This window comes from Homo sapiens, chromosome 4 (genome assembly GCF_000001405.40).
Source record: "Homo sapiens chromosome 4, GRCh38.p14 Primary Assembly".
NCBI lineage: Eukaryota > Metazoa > Chordata > Mammalia > Primates > Hominidae > Homo > Homo sapiens.
Window position 1 is genome coordinate 143,247,841 of NC_000004.12, and position 21,557 is coordinate 143,269,397.

At 40.6% G+C, this 21,557-nt stretch overlaps 1 annotated feature.

Moving 5' to 3' along the window:
* Window positions 641–1,142: an enhancer, noted in NCBI's record as "NANOG hESC enhancer chr4:144169634-144170135 (GRCh37/hg19 assembly coordinates)". NCBI's record gives its function as "activates a minimal SCP1, AML or CMV promoter by ChIP-STARR-seq in primed H9 embryonic stem cells {active_cell/tissue: H9 hESC(primed)}" and the evidence as "EXISTENCE:reporter gene assay evidence [ECO:0000049][PMID:30033119]".

Here is a 21,557-nt window from a genome sequence, read left to right on the forward strand (position 1 = left end):
GGCTGGAAGTCCAAGTTGGAGGCACCAGCAGATTCTGTGTCTGGTGAGTGTCCAATCTCTCCTTCTAAGATGGCACCTTGTTGTTGCACCCTTGGGAGGGTACAAATGCTGTGTCCTCACATGGCGGAGGAACAGAAAGGCAAAAGGGGAAACCTAAATTTGTTCCCTCCAGCCCTTATATAAGTCACTAATCCATTCATGAGGACAAAGCCCTCATGACGTAATCATTTCCCAAAAAGCCCCTCCTTATAATACTATCACAATGAAGAGTAAGTTTCCACATAAATTTTGCAGAGGACACACATTCAAACCATACCAGCCTCAACCTCCCCACTCCATCACTCCCACATCCTAGTTAAGTCTGGATAGATACTCTAACCTGCACCCAGAAGTGAAGAGATGAGGACCCAGGTGAGGACCCAGGTGAGCACTCTCTTCATAAAACCAGAGTAAAAGGCATCTTAGATATCAACTCATCCAGAGTTCTTCTCTTTACAATCAAGAAAACAAAAACCGAGCAAATTTGGACAACGGGTTTATGTCCAAATTACACAAGGTTCAATTACATTGGAACCCAGGATTTCTGGTTTTGTTGTTGTTGTTCTGTATCCTGTACATGAAACAACATTGCCTTTCAAGTCTCCTCGATAGCAGGGGAACTCAGGAATTCAGAGAAGCTGCCTGATTTTTATAGATGAATATCCATTCACCCCCAATAGGAAGTGTAAATTGTGTCTCTGTTCCAAAGTTTGATATGTAATTACCGTCAGGAGCTGAGTTGGAGAGTGAGGAGCTGACAGGTGTTAATGTGGTCAATTAAGACAACGAGCCAAGCTGAAAGTAACAATTAAGCTTTTGTTCACTGACTGCAATTGTATAAGCAAGAGGCCAACAGGACAAAACACCAGCTCTCTAATGTTCCATTTTTCCCCACGGAACAGCTCCAGGGGAGTATCATCAGATGGATCAATCCAGAATGGCGGATTCGCTCACTGCCTTAGGGATGGGAGACGGGTTGGGGACAAGGAGTGGAAAAGTACTGAATACTGAGTCACAATGTCACAGTGGAGACAAGTGTCTTGATAAGGAGACCTCTGAAAGGAGGTGTTTGGACTAGGAATGTAGACATGTGTAGGAGCATGGCCAGTCTGGGAGGCACTGTGTCCTTGATTGCAACTCCCTCCAGACCATGCACCAATTGTGGTGTGGGAAGGACAGCTTCCCCCATGAGGCCTGCCAGATAAAGCCTTTGTAATCGCCTGTGGTCGGGACAGAAAGATCACTGGTAGGATTTTGACCTGGAGCCAGCCTCCTCAATCACATATGGTGACACACCTGTCCCCAGATGTGTTCACAAATAGTCTATAAGTCCTTAGACATGACTTTTCCTTAATGTATATTTTAAATACCATAGCTGACTATAGTCAGAATAAAGCTAATTTTCACCAAATTTTCTCCACAGTAAATTGTCTTCTCATCCATCATAAGGGCCACAACCAACACTCCTCTAACAAAAGACAGGTTAGCAAGAAAAAAGCATAACAAATTTATTTCAAAGTTTTATGTGACATCAGAGTCAGAAATGAAGACCCAGGGAAGACTATCTTTATGCTTAGGTACAATGAAAAATGGACAGCCATGAAGAAATATGATTGGACAAAAAGGTAGGATCTAATGGTAAGAGACCGAAGGGGAGACCCAGCAAGGCCTGTTTATTCAGATGCTTCTTGGCCTCTCTGTGTAGCATTCCTTCCTCCCAGGTATGGGGCAGGATCCCTCTGGAACAAGGGTCTTATGACCTACAGTAAGATAAAGCAGGCCAGGGAATTTCTTTATGGCCAGCTCCTACACAGAAAGACAGGGGGAGATTAGAATAATAGTCCTGGGTTTTATGGCTTGCTTTGGGGAGAATGGTTCTAGTTTCTATGATCCACCTTAAGGAAGATAAATTCTGGTTTCCATCACTTGCTTCAAGGGAGAAAGAAGGATGGAAAACAGGAGGATGGGAAAGTCAGAAAGACCTTGGTTCTAAAGTTGCTTCTAAGGCCTTCCAACCTCCTTTGGTTAAAAGTACTCAGCATGCCAAAGCGCCATAATTTGGGGATTGTGTTCTGAGCCCCAACAACACCAAAGATGCTACAATTAGATATTATTATGCATTAAATTGCATGCTTTTCTGTGCTATAACACAGAGCTGGATACAACTGTGAGAACTCAATAAATACATGTTTAGATTTCTTTGTTTGTTTTGGTTACTATAAAGATCTGAATATAATTAATGGTGTATTTTCTTTGCTTGCAGTATATGGCTTTCAATTTTACCTATTAATTTTATTATCCTATTCATTGTATACGGTTTTAATTACAATCTCCTCAAATCTTTCTTGGTAGAAATAAGTGTGGTAGAAATAAAGAAGATAATTGAATACAGATATTACAGTAAATACATGTCAACTGGAATGTGAAATGCTGTGGCTACTCCCCAAGCAGATTTCATCCTAAGACATTCCAGATAATATAGATAAATCCCTCTTCCCTATTCCTGCCTCCAAACCCCACCTGTTTCCCTGCCCTCAACACATTTCCTAAACTAGGACAGGAACATGTGGGAAAAACAAAGTGGAAAAGGGAAGCAATTCACAGCCCAAACCAAGCCAAACCATGTTTCCACCCATTTGTTGGACTTTTAAAAACTTGCTAAAGCAAATTTAACTCTGCAAATGTGTATTTTAAAAGGTCAGCTATTGAATGTGGTACGGAAATTGCACTGCCATGCAAGATTGAAGTGTTGTGTGAAATTTCAGCAATTGTGCCCATTAACAGAAAAAAAAATATTTACTGTAGGGTCTCTTTCCAGTACCAAGCTTTGGTTAGCTGACGGCGCTGGAATGTGCTAGCCAGGGGTACTCTGATGCCATGTTACCTACCACATCTTCAAAGCTGGAACATCTCCAGCTATGCCTTCCTACATTCAGTGTGTTTACGTACCTTTCTCTATTAAAATAAACACCATGCAGAATGTTAACAGACTGGATTAAAGTGGAAATAGACATGAAGTTGGGGGCAAGCATTAAGCATCATCTTTCTGCTTCTCCCCAGCTGTGCCACAGGCTTGGAACACTTTAAATAGGCTTGGGTGGAAAAGACACCAAAATTAGCTTTGAATTTTCTAGGGTTTTTTGTTTCATTTTGTTTTGTTTTTGCTGATTTCAGACACTTCAAGGCATTATTTAAAAGTAGCCTCCTGGTCTTTTCTTTCCCTGTGTTTCTTTTCTTTTCTTTTGATAATTGATTTAAAAGTTCTTTGTACTACCTTGCTCACCTTTTTTCTTACAATTCCCTTTACAATTGTTTTAACCTTTCTCCTACCTAGCTCAGTCTGCTTTTTGTATGCAGACAGCCAACAGGATACAAACTGTAAAATATGTTTGGCCTGACTTACTGTTTCCTTTCTACATGCTTGGATGTAGAGAATAAGAATCTAAAAGCATAGCTTTTTCCATCTTCTGAAAAAAAAAAATCCATGCTATGCAGGTTAGCCTAAAACTTTTGAATGAATGCAGTTGTCCTATGTTATACTTTAGTCACAGGCCCTTTGAATAGAGCCAAATCCCAGCTGCACCAATGTCTTCTTGGCTGGATATGAACAGTGCCATTGCCTGGGTTCTCATTGCTTTTCTGGCCCAGATCAGCAGATCTTCCCACACCCACACCCAGCCCTGCCCTTCTCCTTGAGTGTAAGGCAGGAAATAATAAGGCCTGAATAAGGAAATAAAGGCCAAGACACTATTTTAGTGCCCTTAGACTCTTCATCAACCAGAAACACTAATGGTCCCTGGTTTCCTTCTGGCCGTTCTTCAGGACCATCAGTAGCACAGCCACTGCTTCAGCCTCTTTTATTTGTGCACACACACAAAAAAATTATCCTAAATGATTGCTCAGTGAATTATCCTTTCCATGTGTTTCTTTTACTAAGAAGGACAAAATATATACATGAGGGAAATACATTTCCATCATTTACCCACAACTATATAAATGAATATTATGGAATATTTACAATGTATTAGGATTAACTGTAGGATTATCTTTTTCAAGGAAATGTACTAAACTTAGTCATAAGCAATGAGTCAGTCTCATTCCAGAAATCATTCAGAGGTGCCATATGAGCAAAGGTAACAAGAACTTCTTCATGGAAATATGCCAAGAACAATATATAGTATAAGAAAACACTTCAGACTATTTTATTTCTAAATGTAAATAATAAAAGCAATATTATAAACTGTAGACAAGAAGAAACTTAAATGAGAGTGCCGGTAAATGTTATCCATCCCAGCAGAACTACAACTTGCCAAGACTTCGGGAGAAACTGTGTAACTGCTACTGTTACAAATAAAGAGGAGGGATTTGGCATTTTCATGCAGGCAGACATGCTATCTATATATGTATGTGATATTAGGCGGCAAGGAAGACAGACAGTGTCATCCTTATAATAAGCATCCAGGAAAACAAGGTTCACAGACAGGGCCTTGGAATCTATGCTTCTTCCTGAAAAAGAAGAATCGGTTTTCCATTTGGATCTGCCATCAGGACACTTATTATCCCACTAAGAATAATTGCCTTAGTGACAATGAGGCACATAACACAAAGGAACAAGGGAAACAGCATCCAGTCTCAGGTTTCAAGATCAAATCAAGGCAGTGCGGTGAATAGGGCAGGGATTTCTGCCTGTTTTGTTCATTGATATGTCCTAAGTGCTTATAATGGTACCTGAACATAGTAGGTGATCAATAAATATTTACTAGATGAATGTGTGATGAATGAATAAGCAATGATTCAACATTATTCACACTGAAGGATGAACTATTTCTTGGAACATGTAAGCATCGGACATTTTGTAAAATGTTTTGAAAATGTAGTAAGTAGCCTCCTTTGTTTGCTATTCAGCTACCAAATATTTCATCTAAAATATATTTAAAGCAAGGGCATAGTATAGTTCATGTTTTTGGAAAAAATAACAAGTATTCTGGACCTACTACGTGCAAATCATTGTAACCTGTAAGGGTATGAGCTCTGATATAAGATGCAAATCACAGGTATGAGACAAAAGATAAATGACATACACAAAAGAAGATGAGCAGATTTTTGGATACCACAAAGAAAAAAAATGACCCTTGTTTTAACCATCTGGGCCTTGGTAGGTAGTAATCAGAAGCTCACATCAAAAACCTACTCTTCAAGTTTTAATATTTTTTCTACTTGGTTAGAGTGTACCAGTTAGGATTTGGTCAAGAAAACAGAAATCACTCTAGGTATTTCAAGAAGGAAAGGATTTAATACAGAGAATTAGAGCCCTTACACAAAACCACTGTCAGGACTAGGAGAAGAAAAGTCAGGGAAGCTCCTCATAGTTTTCAGGACATCAGGAAATTCAGAGATCAGAAGAAACCTCTGCTAATGATCTCAACTTCCTGCAGTACCAAAGTGGGTGATTTCCAGAAGAATACCTAAAAGCTTCGGGCAAAGCCTCATGTCTGCTCTTTGCCAAGGTTTGTTTATCTGCTTGCCCACAGCTGCTGAGTCAATGATGGCTTCTCCTTTTTGCCTTCGGTTCTACTCTAAATCTCAAGGAGTGACCTCCATACATGGAACCTGAATTAGAAATCTGGTGACAAAGCAGTTTAGAAAATATAATTTCCAGGCTTCCAGATCCTACATGATAAGGGAGAAAATAGATGGGAGTTAGGACTGTTGCTAACATTCCAACAGAAATCCAGCACAACGATTGAGGTTAAGTCTATCATCAAATGTAAATGGTTTTCATCCATCATATGGACTCAGTCACTCTCCTATGGAAGTTTTGTTGTTGTCTTCCTAAAACTCTCATATTTGGCTGGGCGTGGCAGCTCATGCCTATAATCCCAGCACTTTGGGAGGCCGAGGCGGGCAGATCACCTGATGTCAGGAGTTCAAGACTAGCCTGGCCAAGATGGTGAAACCCCATCTCTACTAAAAATACAAAAATTAGCTGGGCGTGGTGGTGCGTGCCTGTAATCCCAGCTACTCGGGAGGCTGAGGCAGTAGAATCTCTTGAACCTGGGAGGCGGAGGTTGCGGTGAGCCAAGATTACACCATTGCACTCCAGCCTGGGCAACAAGAGCGAAACTCCATCTCAAAAATAAATAAATGAGTACTCTCATATTCAAGAACCCCTCTACTATCATCATAGAAGATATATGCACTGAGTAGAACCTACTGACTACTGTTTTGTTGGCCAGAACGGACAAAACCTTGTAAGCAGTTTGCCTGCGGACTTCTTGGGAAACTGTATTTCAGTTAAGTTTATTTCCACCAGAGTGTGTTGCCTGATGCTCTGGGAGGACACGACAACCTGGGGAGGAAAGGGTGGATATTTTCAGGGAAGGTATGCAGGGGTAGATTAAAATTTAGTAGGTTCTCTGAGCAGAACAGACAGCAGTGGGCCATCAGGACAATGGAAATAGCATGTGATAAGCCTCCACTAGAATTTAACAGAACGGGGAACATGAGTCTCTCTCGACTCCTTTGCATGTTTTCTTGCATCCACTCAATAGCCCTTCACTTTAAATTCTCTTTTTGGTGAGTGAGATCTGTTGGGGGAAAATGGCATACTCTAGAAGTAGGACTAAGGAGAAGATAGAGAGTAGAACAATATACTGGGGTCATATTCCTCTCATTTAAAATAAAACAAAAGAATAGTTTCCATCAGCCCTCCCAACTTGAGGCTCCCAGTTGAGTCCCCCTGGCGGTGCAAGGAAGGGTAAGCATAAACCACCTCACCTCCTCGCACGCCCTGGCCACTCCCTTGCCCTCCGTTCCTCTCTCCACAAGGGAGCTTCCCTGGCCACCCAGGCTTTGAGCAGTGTTCTGCTCTGGAGGGAATGCCTCTAGGAACAGGATTATGGTCCTGTAACCCTGCCCTCTCTCTTCTCACTGATTTCCTTGGGCTAGGGAGTGCTGAAAACCAAGAACAAGTATCAGGTTCTTATTTTGATCTCTAAGAAAAATACTCTTTTATCTTTTTCTCTCCAGTCCTTAGGGAGTTTTTCTCCTGTAAGTGCAAGGGAAATTCAGGCTCCAAAAAGCCACCTAGGAAGATGACCCGGGGCCAGCCCAAGAATCCACACCCTCTTCTCTGCAGCACATATAACAGTAACTGTACCAGAGGGCTTAGCCAAAAGCAACATGTGGTTGTGCAAGGAGAGAAAGGGTGAGAAAATGCATTAAGATTTTTAAGATGCTGCTTCTTCACTGAGTTCCCTTGCTAAAGGTGAGTGAAAATAAGTACTTGAAGAGCAAAAATACATTGAGAACTAGCCAAAGCACTAGAATCCTGCTTTATAGGGCAAGGATGTAGAAAGGACAGAGAGAGAGAGAGAGGGAATGAGAGAGAGAGAGAATGAATGAGAGACAGAGAGAAAGGAGAAAGAGAACTTTAATTTTTTTCAAGCAAAACTAAAATCGTGGCCAGTCGCCGTGGCTCACACCTGTAATCCCAGCACTTTGGGAGACCGAGGCTGGTGGTTCACTTGAGGCCAGGAGTCTGAGACCACCTGGCCAACATGGTGAAACCCTGTCTCTACTAAAAATACAAAAAACAATTAGCCAGGCATGGTGGTGGGTGCCCGTAATCCCAGCTACTTGAAAGGCTGAAGCAGGAGAATCGCTTGAGGCCAGGAGGCAGAGGCTGCGGTGAGCTGAGATCACACCACTGCACTCCAGCTTGGGTAATAGGGCAAGACTCTGTCAAAAAAAAAAAAAAAAAAAAAAAAAAAACTAAAATATCTAGTATGAGGAATGATGAAGACTATGTTAGTTGCATACACTTTCAGATACATTAGCAGCACATAGAAAAGACTGAAAATAAGTTGATAATATTTTTCTTTTCAGTGTGTTCACATTCCCAACCTGAGGGGTGGGGTGCTTCAATGTATGTTTTTCCCCATTATATAATGTGGAATGTAATCAAGGAAGAATCATTACTGGACTAATCCTCCTCTTATATTAATTCTCTATAATAATGAATAATCAGTTATAAGGGAAAAGGGATTGAAATTAAAAGGCTAAAACTACAGGTTAAGCAAACAAACATAGCCACAATTATGTGATTGTAAGAATAACTTTCCATGAAGCTAATAGATGCTACATGGCAAAATATATTATTACAAACCCAACTGTCCCCAGATTGGGAAAAAAAATGTATGAGGCCTAAAAACTGCTGGATTATTTTGAGTAAGAATTGGACTCAAAATGAGAAATGCAAATGAAAAGTACTACTTCTATATCTCTTTAATTGACTGGTACTCTCTGCCATCAGATTTACCACCCCAGAAGACTACATGAAATTATAAAACCTAGAAAAATGGCAAAGCTAGAGAAAAATCCCAGCAGACGTATTTTTGAAACCTGATTTTTTAAAGCTCCTCTCTGAAATAAATCTCTAAATGTCACTACTTTCAGAATGCATCTAACTAGAGAATTTCAAAATTGCTTTTTTTTCTGAGAATTGCCCAGGACAATGTTACACAAGTGTCTTTGATAAAGCCTATCCTAATATACCAGAAGTATTTCTGAACTGTTGAATCATCACCATCAAAACAAAATCGTACATTCAGGAAAGTAGGTGTTTCTCCTGCAGTCGCCTTTTCCTTCCTTTTTGCAGGGGCATGCAGGAGATAGGGTCTCTGTCATCCTATCACCCTGCAGCCCACTGCAGCCTTGACCTCCTGGGCTCAAGCAATTCTCCTGCCTCACCCCACAAAGTGCTGGGATTACAGGTGTGAGTCACTGCACCAGCCTTCCTTTCATTTTTTATGACAATTTCAAGATGATTTTCAGCTTTGGTTTCTACATAGTGTTTTCCTTCAGGGAATCTATTGATGTTTTATGGGGGAGAAGTCTTCATTGTCCAGGACAGTCTCCAACATTGTGCAAATTTGGTATTCCTGGTCCTTGTTCACTAAATCAAGTAACATCTCCCAAATGCCTATGAGGAGAGTGGAATTCATGGAGTTGAGAACCACTATACCACAAATACATGTTTCTATATGGACAACTGCTGTTTATCATAGCCCTAAAGGCAATTTACACTTCTTGTGGCTGGGACACCACATTTCTTAATCATAATGCAGATTTTCTCTGAGCATGTATACATCTCTGTTCAAGGCATGGTTCCTTCTGAACATGGGCCCATTCTTACTGTTCAACATGACCATGGCTATTTAGTGTTTTTTTTTAATTGCATACATTTAAAGTGTGTAATTATTTGTGTTTTCTTATCTTATTTGAAGACATGAACAAATACGGAAGTAGAATTTATTTATTTAATTGTTTAAAGAGATGGGGTCTCTCTGGAGCTCAGTGGTACAATCACAGCTCACTGTACCTTGAACTTCTGGCCTCAAGCCATTCTCCTGCTTCAGCCTCCCCAGTAGCTAGGACACATGCCACCACACTCAGCTAATTTTTTTCCTTTTTGGAGAGACAGGTTCTTGCTATGTTGCCCAGGTTGGTCTTGATCTCCTGGCCTCAAGTGATCCTCCTGCCTCAGCCTCCCAAAGCACTGGGATTTCAGTCATAAGCCATAACATCCAGCCTAGAAGTAGAGTGTAATGTGTTTGTTTCACCTAGGAGTTCACTCCCAGGTTGTATCAACCCAGCCCTGTTCATATTCTAGCACTCTCTCATCTGAAATGCAAATGAAAGTGTTTCCCAGATGTTGCTATTGTACCAATTATATTCTCTTCAAGAAAAGAACTATCAGTCCTAGTGGGAGAAACTATTTTTATTCATTGAGATCTTTTCCCAGCAATATATATGGTGTGTCCATCCATTGGGTTGACTTCAGAAAGCCTGGAAGAGGACTTCTTAGGTTCAGATATATTTCCCAGAAGGAAAGACAGCCACCAACTAGATAACCGGGAGAAACTACAGATTAGGAAGAAAGTAAGCCACCCTGATGTCACTTAGACCTCATCTCATTGATCCTGCTAAGGCCTTCACAAGCTATGTTTTAAACATTTGTGCCTCTTATGATGATGATCCTGTCACTTCTCAGATATTACTCCTTAAGAATCTTCCATTATTCCAATTATTCAGCATAAAGACAGAAAATAAGCAAATGCTTAATTCCCTATGATGTTTGAAGAGAGAAAAAAAACTTTTCTTTCTATGCACAGGTTATGATCTTGGCATAACAATAAAACACATTTGCATAACACTCCAAAAAATGAAAAAAAATTACCCTCAATTCCACTTAGCTCCAAAAACTTTTTTATTTTTTCCTGTACTTTCCAGATCTTATCAAAATTGCAATCATAATTTACAATACCTTTTTGAAAAACACCATATCAAAAACATTTTCTATCTTCTTACTTTGCTTAAGCAAGGTATCTTGCTTACCTTGCTTATAAGTTATTATATTTGATGGTTGAATTGCAGTCCCTCTTTTTGATACATTATAATTTACTGAATTATTCTCTTATTTTTAAATATTTAATTTTTTTCTGTCAGGTTTTTTTTTTTTTGGTATTACTGATAAAAACATCTGTCCTACATCTGTCAAAATATTTCCTTAGGAAAAATTCTCTGGAGTAGTATTACTTGGTCAAAGCAATATTACAAAGTAGTATTATAAAGGTCTTCTTTGTAGTCTTTACTAAATGTTTTCCTATCCTTCAAAAGGTGGCTACGCCAACTTGAAATGCTCCTTGCTACATATCCATATCCAAACTTTACCTTCACCTCAGGTAACATAAAATAGTAACTCTGAATTGCATTTCTTTGGTTACTAACAAGCATACCCCCTTCCCTTGGTTAAGCTACACTCTAATTCCCTCATCTCTCTTTTGCAATTCTTTTGCAAAGCTGAGCACATAACAGCAACTCATGGCTTGTTGTTGCCTCCATTTAGAGTTAAGCCAAATTGAAGAAGAATGCTCAAGGAAAACAGAGAAAAGATCACTTACTCTTTATTTGGATGAACATTTTTCTGACTTCCTCCTATGTTGTAAAGAAAAGAAAAGCTCAAATATTTTGTGAAAAGCCTGAGTAATAAGTTAATATTCCTTTGGCTGCACAAAATAGAAATTTACTCTAGTTAGCCAGAAGAGGAAAAAGAATTTACAGAAAGTATATTGGTAAGTCTAATAGAACATAAGGAAAAAGGTCCGGGTCATATGGTCTGCCATTTAAGATTCATTTTACTGCCAATAACAAAAATTCTGACTAACAATGGCTTTAGGAATAAAGAGATTTATCTGGCAAAATAACATTCTAGATATTTTGAGGCTGGTTTTGCCACTAAATAAGGTCATCAAGGAGCCCGACTTTTTCCATGCTTTCATTTAACCAGACTCAATGTGTCAGTCATTCTTATGGGTGGTTGCTTCATAGCCACAAGATGGTTGCCTTAACACCAGCATGCCATTCAAAGCCAGGAAGCAGGAAGCAGGGGTGGTGGCTAGGGCAGAGAGTTCTCATTATTTCTCTTTTATTTTCAAGGAGCAATAAGCATTTCCCAGAAATCCCTCAGCAGACTTCCCATCATGCCTCTTCAGATAGAACTGGATTCATAGTTATTACTAGATACTTTATAATTATCATTAGATAGAACTGGGCTATGGCTTTATGACAATCCCTAGACTAGAAGTTGGGCCCATTTTCCATGAAATCAAGGAATCTTCAGCTGATACCAGAGGGAAATTGTGGTGTCTGGTAGTGAATAAGAATGGAACTGAGTCTCTCGGTAGGTAACCATCATGTGTGCCACAGGTGCAAACCAGGGAGTTTGTGGATGTTTCTTTCTTACGCTATGGGTTTTCATCAGCAAGAAACCCAAATCTCTTTTTCTCTTAGGTCAAAACTCCAGATTTCTAAAAGAAAGAGTCTTATGGCTCTGCTTGGCCTATCAGAGAGAATCACAAACTGGAGGCCTGGCTTCTGGTTCCTCTTCTGCACTCCAGCCTGGGCGACAGAGTGAGACACCATCTCAAAAAAAAAAAAAAAAAAGAAAAAGAAAAGAAAAATTAGCACAGTTCTTTGTGTATTTTGCTTATATTCTAGAATGGATAAGAGATACGAGTAAATAAGCAACGACAACATGCCCTTCATCCTTGATAGGAGACCATGTGTTCAGTGAGGGTTTGTGTCAGTGGCATGCCTGCACTGAGTGCCTCAAAGGCAGTATTCCACAGCTAACAAGAAATGTGATATGTTTGTAGGGTAGCATTCTCTTTGAGGGTAAATATGAATTCCTGGGAAGCTGAAGAAGTTAAGATGTCACAGCTGGGAAAGGGGACTGCATCGGCCCTCAAAAAAATTGGAATTGTCTTGAGCCAGAGATAAACACCATGGACATCCCTGACATCTAAGCTAAATGAAATATCATCAAAAGATATTTATTGACAATATAGTTTGATCTGTGTCCCCACCCAAATCTCATGTTCAATTGTAATCCCCAATGTTGGAGGTGGGGCCTGGTGAGGGGTGATCAGATCTTGAGGGCAGTTTCTCATGAATGGTTCAACACCATCCCTCTGGGTGCTGTTATTAAGTGAGCTCTTGTGAGATGTGGTTATTTAAAAGAGTGTAGCACCTCTCCCCATCTCTCTCTTTTTCTCCTGCTCCTGCCATGTAAGATGTGCCTGCTTCCCCTTCGCCTTCCACCAGTTTCCTGAGGTCTCCCCAGAAGCTAAGCAGATGCATCATGCTTCTAGTACAGTCTGCAGCCAATTAAACCTCTTTTCTTTATAAGTCACCCCTCCTCAGATATTTCTTTATAACAGTGCAAGAATGTACTAATACAATTTAACTTCCTAACTTGTATAAAGAATTGTACCAAATCCTGTGGAGGCACAATCTGTAAGCTTTGGTCCTTGCCCCAAAAGAGACTGCAATCTGTTTGAGGAGATTCTTGGTGTAACAACACCACAGGAGTAGATGAATGCTAATTGTAAGGTACAGACAATAAATGTTTTTCCCCTAGTAAGCTTTGTTGACAGTAACAGGACAGAAACTATGTCTGGTGGAGGAAAGGCCTGGAACTGTTTAGTCCACTCAACCAGCCCTCACGTATCCAGCCATGCCACAGCTCTTTCTTAGTCACCCAACACCCTAAGGTCATGGTCTCTTCTGATGCAGGCTATTTTGGTGGTGCGGGCCAACTATAAGGGCTTACATGTTGCCTCAAGAAATTCTGTTCCCGTCAAGTAGACTTCATCTTCCTCACCTTCTCTTGCCTTTTTAAAGACATTCATTTCAACTCTTTCACCCCCACCCCATGTTCTCATTTTCAGAGTGGCTAATAAAAACTTGATTATTAGGAGCAAAGATTTTTAAAACCTTTTTTATAGCCACCAAACAAGAACACAGTATAAGATAGAGGATTCTGCTACTGGTCTGCTGTGAGATAAGTAGCAAGTTACTTTCTATGCTGAAAAATTACTTAAGGAAAAAAGAATATGATTACTCTCTTTCCCACCTTTGCAACCAGGTTCCTGATAAAGATTAGTGAAATGGTCCCCAAAAAACTTGGTAATACTTTACAAAATATTTTATGATACTGTGCAGTCCTATTACAAAAATATAACAGAGTTTAAATGGATTTGTTATATATTCTCTCTCTCTTCTTTAGAGAGTTAATAGCCTTTCAGCTAGAAAATCCAATTACTGAAATCTATGTAATTTCTCTTGGTCATTGGAGAATTCAATAACACTATAAATCTAATTTTTTAAAAAATGTTCACACCATAAATGAATTATAATCAGCAGGACTAAGATCTAATTGGAAATGCTGCTACCATCTGAGATTACTTATGAGCCAAAAACAAATTGCTTAAACCAAACCAGACTCCCAAAAGCCTTGGAGAAGTATTTGTGTTGAAAATTTGGTTAATATTTTTATTCCCAACTTAAGCACCCAGATCTGGATCCATTATTATCACACAGAAGTTCTTGTTTATAAATCATTAAATGCTATTCAGGACTTTCCACAGGAAGCAGACCCTTAGTAACAGGAAGAATTTATAAGACTTTCTTTTTTTTGGAAAAAAGAACAGAAGTCAAGAAAAGGGGAATGCACTCTAGAGAAAGAATTTCCCATATACTAGACTACATTATTCCACAGGCAGCTGAAAACCTGCTTCTTTGTAAAGCTTTCCTTGATCCCATAAATTAGCGATTAACTTCTCTGTGTTGGAGACTACCACGGCTAAAATTTTTACCCTCTTTCTAGTATTTATTTGAATGACTTACATTATTGATAGTTATTTATCCATTAATCTTCCTCATCAAAGTTATAAGTTATTTGGGAAACAACAAGTTCTTTCACATTTTTTACTCCTTCCCACCCCCACCAGTGTCTCCTTTTGTGTGTCAGGTATTGTGGTAGGGGCTGGAGAGAAGATGGATATGGATAGGAAAATCAGCGCAGTTCCGGCTGGGCGTGGTGGCTCGTGCCTGTAATCCCAGCACTTTGGGAGGCCGTGGCGGGCTGATCATGAGGTCAGGAGGCCAAGACCATCTTGGTTAACACGGTGAAACCCCGTCTCTACTAAAAACACAAGAAACTAGCCAGGTGTGGTGGCACACACCTGTAGTCCCAGCTACTCGGGGGGCTGAGGCAGGAGAATGGCATGAACCCGAGAGGTGCAGGTTGCAGTGAGCCGAGATAGTGCCACTGCACTCCAGCCTGGGCGACAGAGCAAGACACCATCTCAAAAAAAAAAAAGAAAAGAAAAGAAAAAGAAAGAAAAGAACAATTAGCACAGTTCTTTGTGTGTTTTGCTTATAGTCTAGAATGGATAAGAGATACGAGGAAATAAGCAACAACAACATGCCCTTCATCCTTGATAGGAGAACATGTGTTCAGTGAGGGTTTGTGTCAGTGGCATGCCTGCACTGAGTGCCTCAAAGGCAGTATTCCACAGCTAACATGAAATGTGATATGTTTGTAGGGTAGCATTCTCTTTGAGGGTAAATATGAATTCCTGGGAAGCTGAAGAAGTTAAGATGTCAGTTACTAGTCTTTGATAAGAATCATGTGAGCTTCACATCCAGGCTGTACAGGCATTAAACTGAAAAGGGTCCCCAAAGGCATCTTGAGGGTTTGGGGTAGGGGGCAGGAAATTCTGGTTTCCTCCAACTCCCCAGATTTGCTGACTAACGCTTTTAATGAATGTCTTTCTACATATTCCTAAAGTTAATTGCTTATCCTAACACATATGTGAGCTTCATCATTCCTGAGGAGTTCAGTGAACTCCTGTGGATGTGCCTTGCATGAAAAGAAATCCAGGAAACTATGGAAACAAAGCCAGAACACACAACCTAGTTTCAACACCCATTCAATTCAATTGTAAATAAAAATGTATCTGAATTTGAAAAAAGGGGGATTCAGATACACAAAGAAAATGAAAATGTAAATGGCAATTGATTCATTCATTCAGCTGATAGTTATTGATGACTCTTTACATGTATCATTTTACAGTTATGATATCTGTAGCTATTTTTTAGTTTGGGGATTGTTAAATCTGGTAAATACTGAGACTGCTGTTGCTTCCTAGAAACTTTACCTGTACCTTGGATAAGCTGTAGGTGAAGGTGAAGTAGAAGATAGAAAGGCTAATTCTCAGGTTCAATCAGCCTGTGGTCTTCTCGCATATTGTGAACAGAAAGAATACTCTTCCAATTGTACAAACCAGTGCAAGGGCCAGAGAGGATGTTAAGAAAAGTAATGTTTTGAGACAAATGTAGTAGAAATCTTCAAGGAATAAACTAATGAGAAGTGAATTATCAAATTCTAAGCCAGACCGGGCATAGTGGCTCATGCCTGTAATCCCAGCACTTTGGGAGGCTGAGGCGGGCAGATCGCTTGAGGTCAGGAGTTTGAGATTAGCCTGGGAAACATGGCAAAATCCCATCTCTACAAAATACAAAAATTAGCCAGGCATGGTTGTAGGCGCCTGTGATCCCAGCTACTCGGGAGACTGAGGCAGGAGAATTGCTTGAACCCGGGAGGCAGAGGTTGCATTGAGCTGATCACACCACTATACTCCAGCCTGGGCAACAGAGCAAGACTTCATCTCAAAAAGAAAAAAAAATCATAATACAATGTGAAGTAACTCTTACATTATTTGAACTAACATTGCCTACTGCTTCAAAGCAGCTTTCTGTCTTATCTCCCAGCCCAACTTCTCAAAGGGATACAACAGAAGACATAAACACATACAGAGATTTCCAATCTGGATAAGATGGCATGCTGTCATGTTTTTCTTCTGAACTATAAACCCTAGGAAAGGCATAAGAGACAACCAAAGGACAACTCTGAAACATGGTTGGAAGGCAAGCTGGTCTGGGACCCCAGGGGAAAGGAACAACATGGTGGCAGGGCATCTATCATCTCCGCCACCCAACAGAAGGTCATCCCAGCCTATCATTTCCGAACTCCCTGCCTAGCAGTGGAAGGCAGCACCGTAGGCCCATTCCTCTCCTTTAATGGCATCAGGCAAACCCAACTCCACAAAGAAGACCATCAGTTGGAAGCCGTGTGGCTAGGGGAGGCACTTTCCTTCCCTGTAGGGTCTGTGACCTGGCTTTTCTGCCAAGAAAGACTGAGATAAGTGGCAGAAATGGCAAGATAGACCTAGTGACAGCAAGTAGCCCAATTCAGGAGGCCTCTTTATTCTCATGGGCCAAGACTCCTTTACTCAGAGACACAGAAACAGCCAGGGGGCACTGACAGGGGCATCTACCCCATCCCTCCTCACCAAGAGTCACTCAGCAACCAGATCTGGAGACAACCCTTCCATTCCCTTAGCCAGCACCAGCAGGGAGTAATGGGAGCCTGATATCAGGGACACCTGATAAATGCAGCAGACCAAAATAATAGTGCAAAGGCTCTAGAAAGTAAACTGCCTTTGGAACCGCTGCTCACAAAACTAGGCCAGGACCTGCATGATAAACCTGAACAGAGTGAATTCCTGCTTAAACAAAAGACTCAAATGAGACCTGGAGTCTCCTAACATAATTGCCATAATATTCAGGACACAATTAAACGTCACTGTCATACCCAAAAGCCAAGGAAATCACAATTTGAATATGAAAATGACAATCAACTGCTGCCAACACCAAGAAAAAATAAGAGGTAGGAATTATCTGACAAGGATTTTAAAGGATGCATAATACAAATGCTTCAACAATCAATAACAAATCCTCTTGAAACAAAAAAAAATTAATAGAAACTCTCAGGAAAGAAACAGAAGTTGCTTTTTAAAACAAACCAACTAGAAATTATAAAACTGAAAACTTCAGTAACAGAATAAAACTGAAAAATTCAGTAACAGAAAAATCTTTTTAAACTCAGTGGATGGGCTCAATAGTAGAGTAGAGACAACAGAGGAGAGAGGCAGTGAACGTGAAGCAACTCCCTGTAGGACAATAAAGAAAGATACAACTTTCTTTCCTTTTTTTTTAAGAAACAGGGTCTCACTATGTTGCGTAGGCTGGTCTCAAACTCCTAGGCTAAAGCAATCCTCCTGCCTTGGCCTCCCAAAGTGCTGGGATTATAGGCATGAGCCAACACTACAGGACTGAAAGGTCCAACTTTCACACCACTGTAGATGAGTAAGGATCAGCTGAAAAAATGTCAGAAGAAATAATAGCTGAAAATTGTTTAAATTTGGTAAAATACACAAGTCTACCCATAAAATACAATCTTTAAGGTATAGGGCTAGGCTGAGTTCTTAGACTTAACACCAAAACACAACTCATAAAAGGAAAAATTGACAAATCGAACCTCAGAGGGGGAAGAATATTTGAAAACCACATACCTAATAAAGGCCTAGTATCTATGATATATAAAGAATTATCAAAACTAAACAGGAAAAAAAACTATAAAATATCTAACTAGGAAATGGGCAAAAGACATGAACAGACATTTCAGAGAAGAGAATATACAGATGGTAAATAAGTACCAAAAAAAAGTGCTCAATATTATTAGCTACTAGGGAAATGCAAATTAAAACCACAATGAAGTATCACTACATACCTATCAGATCAGCTAAAAATTAGCGACAATACCAAATGCTGGAAAAGATATCAAGAAACTGGATCACTCACATATTATGTAAATTTAGGGAATATTGTTAATATGCTAATAAGTAGCCTCAGCTGCAGGAAAAAAAAAAACCAACTGACAAGAGGAAGCAACAATTAATTTTCTACTGTTCCTGTCAGCCAGAAAATGGGATAATAAAGTTAAGGAACTCCACCTTTCCTTAACTAAGTTGCACTGCAAGTACAAAAGCTACTCAAGTGTGCAGGAAATACCTTAAAACAAAAACAGACCCAAAAAAGGGTCCAGAATACAGCACTTGAATTCTGACCTTTTAAAATCTAACACAACCTAAGAGTTAGAACTGTACTCTCAGGCAGAAGGGACTGGACACATAGCCTTGGGAAGAGACCATATAGCTTGGGTCAGAAGCCAAGATGGAAACTGATTTGGAGCATTCCTTAACCATTCCATTTCTTGCCACCTCACTGCAGGAGTCCTGATTATGTTTGCATCCCACGTGGAGCCCAGCAGAACAGGAATAAATAGGATGAAAGGCCAATCCACACTTCTTTTTATTGATGTGCCTAATATATAAGTATGATTAGAATAGTTTGGGTGTTTGACCAACCTGGTACAGTTTGAAGAGGAAGTTATAAATCAGAGGAAATGTCTTTGACTCCTCCTAAGCCAGGTGATATGGTTTGGCTGTGTCCCCATCCAAATCTCATCTTGAATTGTAACTCCCACAATTCCCATGTGTCATGGGAGGCAACTGATGGGAGGTAATTGAATCACGGGGTTATGTCTTTCTTGTGCTGTTCTCCTGATAGTGAGTCTCAGGAGATCTGATGGTTTTAAAAACAGGAGTTTTCCTGCTCAAGCTCTCTTCTCTTGTCTGCTGCCATATCAGACATGCCTTTCACCTTCCACCATGATTGTGAGGCCTTCCCAGTCATGTGGAACTGTAAGTCCAATAAACCTCTTTCCTTTGTAAATTGCCCAGTCTCAGGTATGTCTTTATCAGCAGCATGAAAACAGACTAATGCAGTAAATTGGTACTGGGAGTGGGACATTGCTGAAAAAATACCCAACAATTTAGAAGCAACTTTGGAACTGGGTAACAGGCAGGAGGTTGTAACAGTTTGAAGGGCTCAAAAGAAGACAGGAAAATGTGGGAAAGTTTGGAACTTCCTAGAGACTTGTTGAATGGCTTTGCCCAAAATTCTGATAGTGATATGAACAATAAGGTCCAGACTGAGGTGGTCTTAAATGGAAATGAGGAACTTGTTGAGAACTGGAGCAAAGGTGACTCTTGTTATGTTTTAGCAAAGAGACTGGCAGCATTTTGCCCCTGCACTAGAGATTTATGGAACTTTGAAATTGAGAGAGATAATCTAGGGTATCTGGTTGATGAAATTTCTAAGCAGCAAAGCATTCAAGGGTGACTTGGCTTCTGTTAAACGCATTCAATTTTATAAGGGAAGCAGAGCATAAAAGTTTGGAAAATTTGCAGCCTGACAGTGCAATAGAAAAGAAAATCCCATTTTCTGGGGAGAAATTCAAGCCAGCTGCAAAAATTTGCGTAAGTAATGAGGAGCTGAATGTTAGTCCCCAAGACAATGTAGAAAATGTCTCCAGGGCATGTCAGAGGTCTTCGCATTAGCCTCTCCCATCACAAGCCTGGAGGCCTAGGGAAAAATAGTTTTGTGAGCTGGGTTCAGAGTCCCTGTGCTGTGTGCAGCCTAGAGATTTGGTATCCTGTGTCCCAACTGCTCCAGCCATGACTGAAAGAGGCCAATGTAGAGCTCAGGCCATGGCTTCAGAGGGTGCAAGCCCCAAGCCTTGGCAGCTTCCACTTGGTGTTGAGCCTGTGAGTGCACAGAAGTCAAGAACTGAGGTTTCAGAACCTCCGCCCAAATTTCAGAAGATGTATGGAAACCCCTGGATGTCCAGGCAGAAGTTTGCTGCAGGGATGGGGCCCTCATGGAGAACCTCTGCTAGGGCAATGGGGAAGAGAAATGTGGTTGGAGCCCCCACACAGAGTCCTACTGGGGCACCACCTAGTGGAGCTGTGAGAAGAGGGCCATCACCAGAATGGTAGATCCACTGATGGTTTGCACCATGAGCCTGGAAAAGCCGCAGACACTCAATGCCAGTCTGTGTCAGGAGAGAGGCTGTACCCTGCAAAGCCACAGGGGTGGAGCTGCCCAAGACCATGGAAACCCACCTCTTATATCAGCATGACCTGGATGTGAGACATGGAGTCAAAGATCATTTTGGAGCTTTAAGATATGACTGCCCCACTGGATTTCAGACTTGCATGGGATCTGTGGCCTCTTTGTTTTGCCCAATTTCTCCTATTTGGGACAGCTGTATTTACCCAATGCCTGTACCCCCACTGTATCTAGGAAGTAACTAACTTGCTTTTGATTTTACAGGCTCATAGGCAGAAGGGACTTATCTTGTCTCAGATGAGGCATTGGACTGTGGACTTTTGAGTTAATACTGAAATAAGTTAAGATTTGGTGGGACTATTGGGAAAGAATGATTGGTTTTGAAATGTGAGGATGTGAGATTTGGGAGGGGCCAGGGAAAGAATTATATGGTTTGGCCATGTCCCCACCCAAATCTCATCTCAAATTGTAACTCCCACAATTGGTCAGGGTGATCTCAAACTCCTGACCTCAAATTTCATGGGAGGAACCTGGTGGAAGACAATTGAATTATGGGAGTAGGTCTTTCCTGCACTGTCCTCATGAGAGTGAGTCTCAGGAGATCTGGTGGTTTTAAAAAGGGAAGATTCCCTGTACAAGCTCTCTTCTCTTGTCTGCCACCATGTGAGATGCACCTTTCACCATGATTGTGAGGCCTCCCCAGCGAAGTGGAACTCTGACTCCAATAAACCTCTTTCTTTTGTAAATTGCCCAGTTTCAGGTATGTCTTTATCAGCAGCATGAAAACTGACTAATGCACCAGGCCATCTGTAACTGGGGTTATGGTTAGATTGTGATGTTGTGGCCTTTAAGATGAGGCCGTTCACAGGTGTAGTTTACTGGGATGAAGATGTTACCATATTATTCCATTCAATTATGCCCCTAAAAACCATCCTCACAACAAAATAGAGCTCTTCATTTAGAGGAAAAAGAAATCTCACCATAAAGGTTAACTGGGATTTCTAAATGCTAAGTTTACATTGGAAGTAAAATTTGCATAACATTTAAGGAAATATGAGCAATTAAGTTCTTGTTGTGGCCAGGCACAGTGGCTCACACCTATAATCCGAGAAATTTGGGAGGCCAGGGTGGGAGGATCACTTGAGCCTAGGAGTTCAAGACCAGCCTGGGCAACATAGCAAGATACGGTTTACATTAAAATAATAATAATAATAATATTGCCTCAGTTTTCTTTCCCTGTTAATAATGAATGCTTGGTTGAAATCTAATCAACTTCTTCTCCAGGTTTGTTTCTC